General features: G+C 40.9%; 1 protein-coding gene across 1 annotated transcript in view, besides 3 other annotated features; it reads right to left on the reverse strand.

Annotated features, from left to right (window-relative positions):
• The window catches only part of TMEM132D (transmembrane protein 132D), an 832,300-nt gene that overhangs the window by 344,551 nt on the left and 471,686 nt on the right, over positions 1–16,063 (reverse strand). The gene's annotated exons all lie outside the window — the stretch shown is intronic.
• Positions 9,339–9,508: an enhancer, noted in NCBI's record as "experimental_25486 CRE fragment used in MPRA reporter constructs". NCBI's record gives its function as "activates a minimal promoter by MPRAs in K562 erythroleukemia cells, with activity observed for the non-introgressed 12:129910245 variant allele {active_cell/tissue: K562}" and the evidence as "EXISTENCE:reporter gene assay evidence [ECO:0000049][PMID:34662402]".
• Positions 9,339–9,642: a biological region, named in NCBI's record as "Neanderthal introgressed variant-containing enhancers experimental_25486 and experimental_25487".
• Positions 9,473–9,642: an enhancer, noted in NCBI's record as "experimental_25487 CRE fragment used in MPRA reporter constructs". NCBI's record gives its function as "activates a minimal promoter by MPRAs in K562 erythroleukemia cells, with activity observed for the introgressed 12:129910379 variant allele {active_cell/tissue: K562}" and the evidence as "EXISTENCE:reporter gene assay evidence [ECO:0000049][PMID:34662402]".

Genomic DNA, 16,063 nt, shown 5'->3' on the forward strand with positions numbered 1-16,063 from the left:
CTGTAAGTTGTATTCCTAGGTATTTAATTCTCTTTGTAGCAATTGTGAATGGGAGTTCACTCATGATTTGGCTCTCTGTCTATTATTGGTATATAGGAATGCTTGTGATTTTTGCACATGGATTTTGTATCCTGAGAATTTGCTGAAGTTGCTCATCAGCTTAAGGAGTTTTTGGGCTGAAATGATGGGGTTTTCTAAACATACAATCATGTCATCTGCAAACAGAGACAATTTGACCTCCTCTCTTTCTATTTGAATACGCTTTATTTCTTTCTTTTGCCTGACTGCCCTGGCCAGCACTTCCAATACTATGTTGAGTAGAAGTAGTTAGAGAGGGCATCCTTGTCTTGTGCCGGTTTTCAAAGGGAATGCCTCCAGTTTTTGCCCATTCAATATGTTATTGGCTATGGGTTTTTCATAAGTATTTTGAGATATGTTCCATCAATATCTAGTTTAATGAGTATTTTTAGCATGAAGGGATGTTGAATTTTATTGAAGGCCTTTTCTGCATCTATTGAGATAAACATGTGGTTTTTGTCATTGGTTCTGTTTATGTGATGGATTATGTTTACTGATTTGTGTATATTGAACCAGCCTTGCATCCCAGGGGTGAAGCCAACTTGGTCATGGTGGATAAGCTGTTTGATGTGCTGCTGGATTCAGTTTGCCAGTATTTTATTGAGGATTTTCACATTGATGATTATCAGGAATATTGGCCTGAAATTTTCTTTTTTGTTGTTGGTGTGTCTCTGCCAGGTTTTGGTATCAGAATGATGCTGGCTTCATAAAATGAGTTAAGGAGGAGTCCCTCTTTTTCTATTGTTTGGAATCATTTCAGAAGGAATGGTACCAGTTCCTCTTTGTACCTCTGGTAGAATTCGGCTGTGAATCCATCTGGTCCTGGGCTTTTTTTGTTGGTAGGCTATTAATTACTGCCTCAATTTCAGAAGAGCCCCTATAGCCAAGACAATCCTATGCAAAAAGAACAAAGCTGGAGGCATCATACTACCTGACTTCAAGCTATACTACAAGGCTGCAGTAACCAAAACAGGATGATACTGGTACCAAAACAGATACGTAGACCAATGGAACAGAACAGAGGCCTCAGAAATAACACCACACATCTACAACCATCTGATCTTTGACAAATCTGACAAAAACAAGCAATGGGGGAAAGGATTCCCTATTTAATAAATGGTTCTGGGAAAACTGGCTAGCCATATGCAGAAAACTAACACTGTACCCCTTCCTTACACCTTATACAAAAATTAATTCAAGATGGATTAAAGACTTAAACATAAGACCTAAAACCATAAAAACCCTAGAAGAAAACCTAGGCAATACCATTCAGGACATAGGCATGGGCAAAGACTTAACTACTAAAACACCAAAAGCAATGGCAAAAAAGTGCCAAAATTGACAAATGGGATCCAATCAAACTAAAGAGCTTCTGCACAGCAAAAGAAACTATCATCAGAGTGAACAGGCAACCTACAGAATGGGAGAAAATTTTTGCAATCTATCCATCTGACAAAGGGCTAATATCCAGAATCTACAAGGAACCTAAACAAATTTACAAGAAAAAAACAAACCCCATCAAACAATAGGCAAAGGATATGAACAGACACTTCTCAAAAGAAGACGTTTATGTGGCCAAGAAACATATGAAAAAAAGCTCATCGTCACTGGTCATTAGAGAAATGCAAATCAAAACCACAATGAGCTACCATCTCATGCCAGTTAGAAAGGCGATCATTAAAAGTCAAGAAACAACAGATGCTGGAGAGGATGTGGAGAAATAGGAACACTTTTACACTGTTGGTGGAACTGTAAATTAGTTGTTGAACTAATGGTTGCATTGTGGAAGACAGTGTGGTGATTCCTTAAGGATCTAGAACCAGAGATACCATTTGACTTGGCAATCCCATTACTGGGTATACACCCAAAGGATGATAAATCATTCTACTATAAAGACACATACACGTGTATGTTAATTGCAGCACCATTTACAATAGCAAAGACTTGGAACCAACCCAAATGCCCGTCAATGATAGACTGGATAAAAAAAAGTGACACATATACACCATGGAATACTATGCAGCCATAAAAAAGGATGAGTTCATGTCCTTTGCAGAGACATGGATGAAGCTGGAAACCATCACCCTCAGCAAACTAACACAGGAACAGAAAACCAAACACCACACGTTCTCACTCATAAGCGGGAGTTGAACAATGAGAACACATGGACACAGGGAGGGGAACATCACACACCGGGGCCTGTTGGTGGGTGGGGGACAAGGGGAGGGAGAGCATTAGGAGAAATACCTAATGCATGTGGGGCTTAAAACCTAGGTGATGGGTTGATGGGTGCAGCAAACCACCATGGCACATGTATACCTATGTAACAAACCTGCACATTCTGCACATGTATCCCAGAACTTAAAGTATAATAATAATAATTAATAATAATAAAAGAAAAGTGGGGCCTCTACAGTTGTAATTAGCTAAGTTAAGATGAGGCCATGCTGTATACGGGTGGGTTCCAAATCAACAGTCAGTGTTCCTATACGAAGGCCAGGTAAAGATGCAGAGATACAGATAGAGACACAGGGCAGAGGGCAATGTGATAGCAGAGTCATGCCGAGTGACAATCAAGTGAAGCAACGACAGCCAGCACAGGCCAAGGGCTGCCCCACCGCAGCCTGAGGATGCAGGGAAGGAACCTCCCAAGAGCCTTCCACGGGAGCAGGGCCCCGCTGACACCTTGATTTCAGACTTCTAGTTTTCAGAACAGTGAGACACTAAACTTCTGTTGCCTTTTCCCACCCAGTTTGTGGGACTTCGTTATGTAAAAAATGGGTGGAGAAAACTAATACACCCTATTTCTTCTATTTCCTTGAGAGTCCCCAACTCCAAGCTACACCTTCAAGTTTGGGTGGGACTCAGGCTGTCTCCATGTTCTTGGGGGTGGGGTCACCGAACCTCTGCCTGGCCAATCAGTAATGACTGTGATGGGTTCAGAAACGGGAATGTGACCAGTTTCAGCCAGCAAGAGTAAATCCTAGCAATTCCATGGGACCTCCTGCAAGAGGCTCTTTTCCCTGCGTATTAGGGGATGAAGATGAGCGTGCAGGAACAGCAGCAAATATTTTGCCACCATGAGGGAGACAGGTACTAGGAGGGGCACTGTGCACAGTGTAAGGATGAAAACTTTAGCAGAAGGAGGATGGTAAGGGACAGAAGGAGAGAGAGAGAGAGACTGTTCCTGATAACATCCTTTAAAATATTCATTAAAGTTTTGCTGGAAACCAGAAATACCACTTAACTTCTCAGTTGCATAAGCTAATAATATAATTCTTTATGGCTAATCTGCCTCCGGTTGCATTTTCTGCTACTTACAATGAAGAGAATACTAAATATAATGTCTTTTGAATAAGTCTATATTGTGATGTCTTTACTGCATCTATAATTGAATCCTGCCCCATTGGAAGCAGTTGTCTGCTATATGAATATAAAATGCCAAGTCTATGGCCTTTTGTTTTAGATGTGGCAAGTTATGTTTAGAGATTTCATATAATTGTGTCTCAACTGATTTTAAGGTAAACTAATTTATGTGGGAGGGGGTGGGTCACTTGAGGCTAATTTATTTTCTAGGGAAGTTTTTAAAATATTCCCAGTTGACCATAGGTCATCATCTGCCCAAAATGAACTCAGAAAATTAACATTATTGTAAATATACATTTAAGGCACATTGGGTGAATCAGTTTCATCTTAAAAGGCCACACTTGGAGCTTGGTACTGAGGTCCCAGAGGGCTGTGTTGAGGAGGACCTGAGCCCACACCAGCTCAGAGGAAAGGTGTGCTGTGGGCAGTTGCTGGTGTCTGCGATAGCATCAGCAGGAAGAATGCTCCCACCGATGGTGTCCCGGCTATAGAAAACACACAGCCAAGACACTGTACCGTGTTTCATATTCTCTAAGTATCCCAAACAACATTATGAAGTTAATTTCAAATTATTGCACGTTCTCTGTTTTTTTTTTTTTTTTTTTTTTTTGCAGTATCTGGGCCACTGCCATTTGTAAGGATAACTGTCAATCATCTTTCCTACAAAACCTGCTTCTGACAGGTTTACAAATGAGTGCTGTCCGGTCCCAAACCATCTCAAATACCGTGAAGCACAGTTTCCAGACAGAGTATCATCGAAGGCTGTCAAATAAATGAAGAAAACAGCAGGGGAAAAATTCTACCCAACAGGACAGCCGCAACAGGCAAAAGGAAAGCAATTTCTTGTGCTGGGTTGGTTGTGTGCTTCTCAAGAATCTGAAGTCCTGCAGGAAGTTACAAAGGCAAATAATTAACCCCACTGCCAAGGATGTGTGGAGCCCAACCAACGCTCAGCAAGCTGGCAAGCGATAAAGACCCCTGGTGAACACCTTCATTTTTTGCTTCACTCTGAAATCTGTCTCCAACTAAAATCACACAAAGTTAACTGCAACCTCTAATACCTTTTGACATTGAACACTTCGTGGGAATGTATTTGCTGGTGAGACAACCCAGGAATGTTTTTGTGTTTCCAATACAATTGTTAGGTATGGAGTTTGATGTGGGTTTTTTATATAATCTCTAACTGGCTAATTCCCCTCTACTTTTATTTATCTAACAGTCCGAGCTGTTGGTAGATCTACCTTTTTTTTTTTTTTTTTGAGACAGAGTCTCGCTCTGTTACCCAGGCTGGAGTGCAGTGGCGCAATCTCAGCTCATTGCAACCTCTGCCTCCCGGGTTCAAGAGATTCTCCTGCCTCAGCCTCCTGAGTAGCTGGGATTACAAGCTCCCGCCATCACACCCAGCGAATTTTCATATTTTTTGGTAGAGATGGGGTTTCACCATGTTGTTCGGGCTGGTCTCGAACTCCCGGCCTCAAATGATCCGCCTGCCTCAGCCTCCCAAAGTGCTGGGATTACAGGCGTGAGCCACCATGCCTGGCCTAGTGGATCTATTTTTAAAGTGAGGAGATCATAGTATGTATCACAAGACAATTGTATTCAGCATCCATTAAAATAACCAAAGGTTTCTTCATTTACTTCACAAATCAGCTACACTAATCCAGTGGTTCTCATGTGAGGGAGATTTTTGCTCTCCCTAGAGACATGTCTGGATACATTTGTGCTTGTCGCACCCCATGGGGGAGCATGCTATGACATTGCTTGGGTGGAGACCAGAGATGCTCCTAAACATGTTTCAGTTTCCAGAACAACTATCCTCCCAACCCTTAGAAACAAGAACTACCTATTTCAAAAGGTCCACAGTGCTGAGATTAAGAAACCTGAATCAATAGATTTTCTACTAGCAGCCCTGATGTCCTAATGTTGACTTCCTAATGGGCTACATTCTAAAATAAACTTTACTTGGCTATATTTTTGATACACTGCTGGATTTGTTTGTTAATGTTTTATGTATGGCTTTTGTACCCGTGTTTATAAATGACATAGCAAACATTTTTCTTCATTTTTGAATGATTGCCAAGTTTTGTCATCATGGTAAAGATAGACTCATACAGGAATGGAAAATCTTTCCTCATCTCAAATTTATTTAAAGCAAGTTTTAATTAGCATGCAATAAAATTCAGTCTGAGTTGTGGCAAATGCACAGGTGTGTGTCTACCAAAGTGAAGGTACAGAACAATGCCATCGTTCCCCCAGATTCTTTCCTTCTCCTGTGCCTTCGCGGTCAAATCCTTCCCCATCTTCCCTTTTTAAAACTATAGTTTCAATTATAAAATTCACTCATGCTCATTGCAATTAAACCATACAGCAATGTTAAAAAAAAAAAAAAAGCTTTTCTACTTTTCTTCTCATCTCCTACTGACACTAATGTTAATATTTAAGGGAACGTTTACATATTTGGGTTTGACGAAACATTCTAAGCAAGAGACAAAAAAAGAATATCTATACAATTTTTTAAATTTTATTGGCGAAAATCACCATAAACAAAACAGAAAGAGGGGTATATTATTGCTGTATCAATGTCACAAATATTGCTTCTCACATAATAAGAAGAGAACACCTCCAAAGTGATAAAGATAAACAACTTGATAGAACAAAAAATTAGCAGAGGATGTCAATGGGCAAGTCACAGAGGAGGAGTTGCTAAAGGCCAGTAAACATCTGAAGAATGCTCTTTCTCATCAGTGGTCAAATAAATGCAAAATAAAACCACAAAGATAACAGTTCCCTCATCAGATTAGCAAGAATTAGATTAACATCTAGGTCTGAAAAGGTTGCAAATAAATTAGTGTCTTGCCAACAATGTCAGGCAAATAAATTGCATTAACTTTCTGGAAATTAATCTCGCCATGTCTATCGAAGTCAACAATTTACATATTCTTTGAGCCATAAATCTCACTTGTGAATTTATCTACACAAAGAAAATCACCAGTAAGTAAGGATAAGTGCAGAATTATTTATACTGATAAAAATATCAGGAAAAGACTACTGTCAACAGGTAAATGATTGAATACATTATGATAAAATGATTCTGTTTATTATGCAGGTATTTCAAAGAGAAAGAATTCAATCTTTCTCTATACATACATATATGTGTATATATATATATATGTATACATATACGTATTATGTATACATACATACATGCAGAATAAAACCAAGGAAAACTAGAATCAACGAAGGAAAGTAAGCCACAGTGGAACAACATGGCTGTCTACAACCAGTGACAACTGTGTCTTCACTGCCTCATCAGAGAAAGCACATATACATGTATATACATATATATATATGTACATCTTTATATAAATATAGATATTTCTATATATTTACCTGGAAGAGTACACAGAACAATTTCTAAATTAAAAAAATAAATCTCAATTCATATGCACACACATACACACATATACAAACCCTCATTTAGAGTCACATGTCTGACATTTTAAGTCTGAAATCTATCACGTGATGATTTCCTTTGTTTTCCTTTTCCTACACATAAACAGGAAACAGTGCTCTGCAAACTAGAATAAAACTAAGGAAAATCAGCCAAGGTGGAATAACTTGGCTGAGTGCCTATAGCCGCTGATAACTGTGCCTGCACTGCCTTGTCAGAGGAAGCCACTCTCTTCTGCAACATCCGGCAACACGCTCACTGGGGATCTGGTTCTTCTAGGGTTGGGTTAGCAAATGGATTTCAAGAGCCAAATCTGGATGATTTGTAGGGGATGTAGGGGTTGTAGGGCTCTATGGAAAAGGACACCATGATTAATTATCAATGTCTTCCACAGGAGGGGAAGGGGACTGGTGAATGAGAGTCTGTGTCACTCACCTAGCCCAAGATGCTGTTCAGGTAGGCATTCTATGACGGGAAAGGGAAGCGCTTGTACTCATGAGTAGAAGAGCTAGTATGCTAATACGGACAGACCCTTAGAAAATGCCTTCCTCAACACGAACTTTCAATATTATTTATGGTAATACCCATTGACTCGGACTAGAAATATGTCACAGCTTTTGACAAGGAAAGCTACCACCCACTGCTTCCTAATTTTTAAAAAGCAATGTTTTCCAATCAGAGCAATTTAGAGCATGAAATAAATTTCATTAATGACAAAGAAATTATAAATCTTAAATTCCTTCAGTTCGTAACAGCCTCATAGGTTAGGCTGCCCAGGTAGCTTTGGCTGAGAAAATATTTGACATTTTTAGAAAATGACATAAAAATTTTCCAGCCTTTTGTTACCCGTTCAGCAAAGAAGCCTTTATTGTCTTCTATAAGTACTACATTTTTTGATACTAACGACAGTTGACTATTATTAACATATATCATTATAACTATAATTCATACTAATAATTCTAATGAAATGTAGGAGCATCTCTCTGTATGGATGATTTACTTTCAAAGAAGCGATCTGTAAATTTTTTTGTAAAAAAAAAAAAAAATCTATGACAAATATCGCATGAGCGGGAAGCATAGTTTTTAAACACTGTTTCTCAATAAAGTATTAGTTTCTCCTTAGTTCACACCAAGAATGTAGGTGGTCACATTCTCTAGTCACGCACTCAAAAGTTTTCCCATACATCCTCTTTTCCTTCTCCATGATTTTTGCTTAGGAAGGCATTTTCCACCCATTGGATGATACTCTCTACCTTGCAGGATGCTTTCTGTTTTCAAAGACATCTCGGGAGGCCGAGACGGGCAGATCATGAGGTCAGGAGATTGAGACCATCCTGGCCAACATGGTGAAACCCCGTCTCTACTCTCTATTAAAAATACAAAAAAATTAGCCGGGCGTGGTGGTGGGCACCTGTAGTCCCAGCTACTCGGGAGGCTGAGGCAGGAGAATGGCGTGAACCCGGGAGGCGGAGCTTGCAGTGAGCTGAGATCACGCCACTACACTCCAGCCTGGGTGACAGAGCGAGACTCCATCTCAAAAAAAAAAAAAAAAAAAAAAAAAGACATCTCAACACACATAATGAACTCCTCACTTTGAATCTGTTTGAGGATTATAAAACAAGTGTATTGAGACATATTTAGAACATTATTTACTTATTTAAAGCGTATAAAAAGACTTTAAACTCGTCAACTTGTAAAACCATCATCCTAAGTGAATTTTAGGACGTTTTCATCACCCTAGAAAGATTCCTAATGCCAATTTACAGTCCATCCCGCTCCCCACCTGCAGCCTCAGGCAACCACTAATCAATCTACTTTCTGTCTCTATAGATGTGTCTGTTCTGGACATGCGGTCTCTGGTGTCTGCTTCTTTCCCTTAGGGTAATGAGTTTGAGGTCACCCATGTCAAAGGACGTATAAGTAATCCATTATTTTGTATTGCTGAATAGTATTCCATTTTATGGATATAACATACATCAGCTGAAAAATGTCTGTGTTCGTTCCAGTTTTCAGCTATTATGAATAATGGTGCTAAGGACGTTCATGCGCAGGTTTTTAGGTAGATCTGTAATTTCATCTGTTGTGCAGATATCTAGCACTTGAAACTGCTGGCCCATATGGGAAATTTTTGTATTTAATGTTTTAAGAAACTGAGGAAGCTTCCCAAAGTTGCTGCACTATTTTCCATTCCCACCAGCAACATACGTGGGCTCCTGTTTCCCCAGATGCTTGCACTTTTTTTTTTTTTCTAATCTCTGCTTTTGCTTCCATCATAGTAGAAACATTTACAGTCTTCCTGACTTTACGTTAATTGACATGACTGGCTTAATGTTCTTTGCAAAACATCTTGGAAACACAATAAACACGCATATGACTAATGAACAACCTGGCAGTCAAGAACAAAGTGGCCACACAACCCCCTAATACATCCTAAAATGCCTTCTGTTTCTGGAGTGGAATGTTGCTCCTATCTGACACAGCCAATCAATAGAGGTAACACTGGAACACTGATGTTGGGGAGAGGATGTGGTATTTGCAGCTGACATTTATTGAACATTTTCTAAGAGCAGGTTTCTACTGAGGTCATTACCTGCTTCATTGTGCGTAAACAATAAAGATCCATGTGAAGTAGTGATAATCGTCTCTAGTCTACAGACTTGGAGACTAATGTTTGGAAAAGTTGAGTCGACTTCCCAACGCCACATAGGCAATGGAGCAACGAGCCAACATGGAAAGAAAAGCTGTTTTATCACGAAAGCTTTGGCAGGACAATATGACAAATGGCAGATGCTTTGAGAATAGGATGTTGCTATGGGTAGTGCCCAGTATTTGCAGGACCCACAACACTGGCAGCAGAAAGATAACCACTTCTCCAGCCAGCTGCACTGAAGATCGCTATTTGTATTAGATGGAGATTGTGTTCAGCTGCCTGTAACTCAAATCAGAGGAAGAATTCATTTTTCTCGAAGGGTCTGCATGGCAGCTCCTTCTCTCTTCATGTCCTGCTGTCTTCCCTGCATGGTTTTCATCCCATGACTGCCTCATGGTTATGAGATGGCTACACCATCTCCCTCCCCCTGCCAATATTTAGGAAGGGAAATTATGAGGAAGAAAACAGCAGGAGAAAGGAGGTTCCCTAATCAGACAAGCAAAACCTCTCCAGAAACCGCTGGGGAACTGTTTCCTACGACCACACCTAGGAGCAAGGAGGCTCAGAAATAAATCAGTTTAAATGCCTATTATTCTCCTGCACACATTCAGGATTCTGTAAGTAAGAAGAAGGATAGCAGAGTTTGGGGAAAGCAATTGGCAGTGGTTGCCACACTGATGTCTCAGTCAGGTCATCTTCAGGCTCCAAAGGTCCTAGAACTATCTCAGGAATCTCCATCACTGTGCCAAGAGGCTGAGCACACTCCCTCTCCATCATGTCTCAGATGGTTAAGACATTGGAGCAAGCGCTTATTGAGCATAAGGTTCGAAATAATAATACCAACATTGGCAGCTGACACATGTGCTTACTCTAAGCCAAACTCTTTATATATATTAACTACATTTAAATCCCACAACAATCACAGGAGGGAAGGATTATTATCACCGTTTTTCAAAGAGGAAAACCGAGGCACAGAGAAGTAATTCCCCCAAAGTCACACAGCTAGGAGGTGGCAGAAGCGGGAGCTGTGGCACTGTGCATGCAGCACGCCTTCAAAGCGCATGTGTTACTCATTCTCACCCGTGGCCTCTCATAGGTGGAATGTGCAGGCTAGCTTAGAGATACACAGCTAGAGAGCTATAGGGCCTTGGGAAAGTCACTTTCCTTTACTAAAGCTTAATTTGCTCCTATAAGACAGGGGCAGTGGAGCCAACCTCAAAGGATGTTTGCAAGAAATAAATACGATCCCATATGGGAAGCACACATGCTGGATGATCCTTGTCTTGTCAGTGCTCAAATATACTCTTGTTTGCATGTTTACCATCTATATGTATGGATTTGAATCCTAGTTAGAGTTAAAACAAAACTATATGGATGGTAAAAGACAGGAAAACAAATAACATACGGGGTGAAGCCTCAGGTGGGGCATCATAATCACGCAGCATCATTCCTTCTCTTTTTCAGATGAAGTCCAATGCTAAGGACGCATCAAGAAAGGAAGCCTCCTTCTCACTCATAGGTGGAAACTGAACAATGAGAACACATGGACACAGGAAGGGGAACATCACACACCGGGGCCTGTTGTGGGGTCGGGGGAGGGGGCAGGGATAGCATTAGGAGATATACCTAATGTTAAATGACGAGTTGATGGGTGCAGCACACCAACTTGGCACATGTATACATATGTAACTAACCTGCACGTTGTGCACATGTACCCTAAAACTTAAAGTATAATAAAAATAAAGAAATAAATAAATAAAAGAAAGGAAGCCTCTGTGTTGAGACTGGTCCTAGTCATTCGGATGCACTATGCATCCCAGTTTTTGTTAGTAAAAGGTAAAACTAAAGTGCACTTTAAAAAATCACATTCCTGGAAGAAAGAAAATCTTGTAAATTTTCTAGAGGAGGAAAATTAAAAAAAAACAAAACCAAAATCAAAATCAAAACCAAACCCAAACAAAACAAAACCAGGTCTTAGGGTACCGCAATGCAATAGATATTAAAACTGATTTTACTTTAAGGGAAAATTTTACTTTAATTGCTGTATTAACAGATCTTTCAGGTATTAAGTCCCGCTGAGTTGATCCGAAACACCTTATCTTATCTTATCTCTCCTGCAGTTGCTCTGTGTTTTCAATCCTCTCTCGGATAAACAGAAATTTCTCCATGGGAAATTTACACTTCTATAAAAATTCATATATAATAATGAATGATTCCACCTACCCAATAAACAAAAACACAAAATCCATAAAGAGAAGAGAGGAAACAGGGACCACAAGCAAACAAAAACAAAAGAGAAAACCAGGAAGATGAAAGGTCAGAGGTGATGTCCTAGAAAATAAGAAATCTGTTCTTTCTTACAAATACGGAAACCCATTTTAAAATTGGATACTTTAAAAGTTATTGTTTAAATGGGATAATTCAGCATCCAGGTGTGCTTTACATAAAGATGTTACAGCACAACAGCATCTTTTTACTTTTATGAATATTCAGAAAAATCTGTTGTGTAAAACACCAACAACAGTAGTAACAACAAGAAACAAAAACCATCAAGGCTGGAGTGTGAAATTGAAAGGCTGAATGCCAAGGCACTGAAGGATTCCAATTTGCATTTTTCTATTTTGCAACTTTGTGTCTAATGTGACACATGTTAAAGAATTCTTAACCTGTGTTATTACTTGGAGGAGGAATTTCACCACTACGTATGCTGGAGAGATTTCAGAGACTTTGATTTTTTATTTATTTGTTTATTTGTAGCCCTGGGACAAAATTCTTATTTTCCTTAGCTGAGAAATATATTAGCAAGCATCAGCTCTCAATTTTACATATTCATGGTAGCTGATATAAAACGGTATTTGGCTTCCAGAGGCATTATGTGTTTTATGTAAATGTGTGTCTTGGGCATTTTCTCAAGGGAAAAGCTGTTTCATCACTTAGTCCTTACTCCCTAAGAAAGCACTTGATGAGAACCATGAATTAATATCACGACTGAGCGAGAGGGGACCAGGGAAAATTGCTTCAGCAATTGCTTGGAAGGCTCCCAGAATTTGGCCTGGGCATAGCTGCAGAAATCTTTGGAAACAGAAGACTCCGTGAAAGTAAATGAGGAAGTGTGAATTTTGCCACTTAGTTGCACTAAGCAGTTTATACTCACTGTAGTCCACAATCCTTCAAGTTACTCACAGTAGTCCAAAGTCCTTCAAGTTACTCACTGTAGTCCAAAGTCCTTCAAGTTACTCACTGTAGTCCAAAATCCTTCAAGTTACTCACTGTAGTCCAAAGTCCTTCAAGTTACTCACTGTAGTCCAAAATCCTTCAAGTTACTCACTGTAGTCCAAAGTCCTTCAAGTTCCTCACTGTAGTCCAAAGTCCTTCAAGTTGGCCTGACCAAGTAGTTGTGGATTCTGCTCTGCACTTGATGGGAAGAGCCTGGATTCAGAGTTAGACGAGCTGAATCTGTCAGTCAGGGGACAGCTGCCATTCACAGAAACCACTCTAGTAGTGTAAGCAGAAAGGGATTTAATAGAGGAAATTGCTTTATAGTTTTTTGTTTGTTTGTTTGTTTGTTTGTCATTGGTGTTGAAGAAACAGGCTATGGGATTTAGGGATGACTTCTAGAAAAACCCCAAAGAAGAGGCCCCCCCAGGGAGCTGGTGCCTTGGCTTCCACAAGGAAACAGGAAAACTGGGAAACCTTTCTCACCTCAGCCTCCCAAGTAGCTGAGACACAGGTGTGTGCCACCACACCCAGCTAATTCTTTCTTTTTTTTTTTTTTAATATACTTTAAGTTTTAGGGTACATGGGCACAATGTGCAGGTTTGTTACATATGTATACATGTGCCATGTTAGTGTGCTGCACCCATTAACTCGTCACTTAGCATTAGGTATATCTCCTAATGCTATCCCTCCCCCCTCCCCCGACCCCACAACAGGCCCCGGTGTGTGATGTTCCCCTCCCTGTGTCCATGTGTTCTCATTGTTCAATTCTCACCTGAGTGAGAACACGCGGTGTTTGGTTTTTTGTCCTTGCAATAGTTTGCTGAGAATGATGGTTTCCAGCTTCATCCATGTCCCTACAAAGGACATGAACTCATCCTTTTTTATGGCTGCATAGTATTCCATGGTGTATATGTGCCACATTTTCTTAATCCAGTCTATTGTTGTTGGACATTTGGGTTAGTTCCAAGTCTCTGCTATTGTGAATAGTGCCACTATAAACATACGTGTGTATGTGTCTTTATAGCAGCATGATTTACAATCCTTTGGGTATATACCCAGTAATGGGATGGCTGGGTCAAACGGTATTTCTAGTTCTAGATCCCTGATGAATCACCACACTGACTTCCACAATGGTTGAACTAGTTTACAGTCCCACCAACAGTGTAAAAGTGTTCCTATTTCTCCACATCCTCTCCAGCACCTGTCGTTTCCTGACTTTTTAATGATCGCCATTCTAACTGGTGTGAGATGGCATCTCGTTGTGGTTTTGATTTGCATTTCTCTGATGGCCAGTGATGATGAGCATTTTTTCATGTGTCTTTTGGCTGCATAAATGTCTTCTTTTGAGAAGTGTCTGTTCATATCCTTCGCCCACTTTTTGATGGGGTTTTTTCTTGTAAATTTGTTTGAGTTCATTATAGATTCTGCATATTAGCCCTTTGTTTTTCTTATTTTTTGTAGCGATGGGGTCCCACTGGTCTCAGACTCCTGGGCTTAAGCGATACTCCTGCCTGGAACTCCCAAAGAGCTAGATTACAGGATTGAGCCACCACACCCAGCCCAGTTCTACTCTTTAACTAGTATGTAACATCCCTAAATCCCACTCAGCCTCAGTTTTCTCATCTGTGAAATGGTGACATTAGAGGGTTGATTATGAGAATTCAGTAGTCCCTGACATCAGGCAGATACATAATAAACGCTGGTGAACTTGGCCTTCCCTGCGCCTCAGACTTCCCCAGTTGCCAATAATTGCAGTCGATGGGATGGAGGCTTACAGAAAGAAAAAGGTGTTCTTTTATTCACTCCTTAAAATGGGGGAGGTAGATAGGGAAAGAGCTCAGGAGAGTGGGGGGAGACAGGTACACTTTTAAACCAAATTAGTTGGATACCAGCATCATCCTCTGTCTGGGCTTCCAGGCGCATGCCTGATGGAGGGAATCTGCTCTATGATTAAATATCAATCACAGTCAGCTGAGGCCCATTGGGTGCAATCCCAGAAATTCAGACTTGTGTTCTCTGTCTTGGGCAGGGGGCTTCCAGGAATGGAGAAGAGAGCGGCTGCTACGCATTGTTATAACAGCAGCTGAGATGGTTCCCTTCCAGCCTCTACCTCATTTAGTTCTCACAAGTAGCCCTTGAGGTAGCTCCTGCCATTATTCCCTGTTTACCGATAAGGACGCGGAGCTTCAGTAACTTACTCGACAGTTCCAGCAGCTAAGCCTGGAGTCTGTGTTGTTCCCACTGCCATGTGCTACATCTCTGGATTTCCCAAATCGTTCTCCCTCTCTGCTTCAGATTTTCCAGAAGCCAAATTTCTTCCCTGTTTATCTCTCACAGGGGATTTATGGCAAAGACACATCTGTCGTATCTAGGCTGAGAGCCTGCACATCCAGATGCTCGAAGTGTCTCTTGGCTTCTCCAGAACTATGCACACGGGATGCCTTTTGGGGACTGAGTTGCATACTGTGGGCTCTACTTCACAAAAGTAGATCCAGGTTCTAACCACATCACACCAGCGTTATCACTCCTGCCCTGGTGCAAGCCAAGGTCACCTCCCTCCTGCATTTTACAACAGCCGCCTGCTCATGCTGCTTCTACCTTTGAGCCCAGCAATTTACCGTTCATGCAACATCCATATATGAATTCTGATTATGCCACTCTCCTGCTGGAAACCTCCATGGGTTTCCCATCTCACTCTGGGTAAAAACTTAAACCTGCACATCCTGCTCAAGTCCCTATAAGGTCTAGTCTTTGCCTATGTCTTTGGTCCACCTCCCCTCATGCCCTGTTGCTCTTCTGCACCCTCCCACTGGCTTTCTTGCTTTCCTTGAACACACCAAGCACATGCCTGCCCCAGGACCTTTGCACTTGCAGTTTCCTCTGTCTTTAGTGCTCCTCTCCCACATATATGCAAATCTTTTAGATCTCTGCTCAGATGTTGCAACGTCAGAGAGAACTTCCCCTATCACTTGATACAACATTTCACCCTGACCACAATTCTATATCATCACCTTGCTGTACCCATCTCTAGACTCTTATCACTATAATTATGTTGCATATGGATGAATGAATGGATGGATAGGTGGATGGATGGATGGATGGATGGATGGATGGATGCTTGGATGGATGGATGGATGGATGGATGGATGGATGGATGGATGGTTGCATGGATGGATGGATGCTTGGATGGATGGATGGATGGATGGTTGCTTGGATGGATGGAAGGATGGATGGATCAATGGATGGATGCTTGGATGGATGGATGGATGGATGGATGCTTGGATGGATGGATGGATGGA

This window comes from Homo sapiens, chromosome 12 (genome assembly GCF_000001405.40).
Source record: "Homo sapiens chromosome 12, GRCh38.p14 Primary Assembly".
In the NCBI taxonomy this organism is placed as follows: domain Eukaryota; kingdom Metazoa; phylum Chordata; class Mammalia; order Primates; family Hominidae; genus Homo; species Homo sapiens.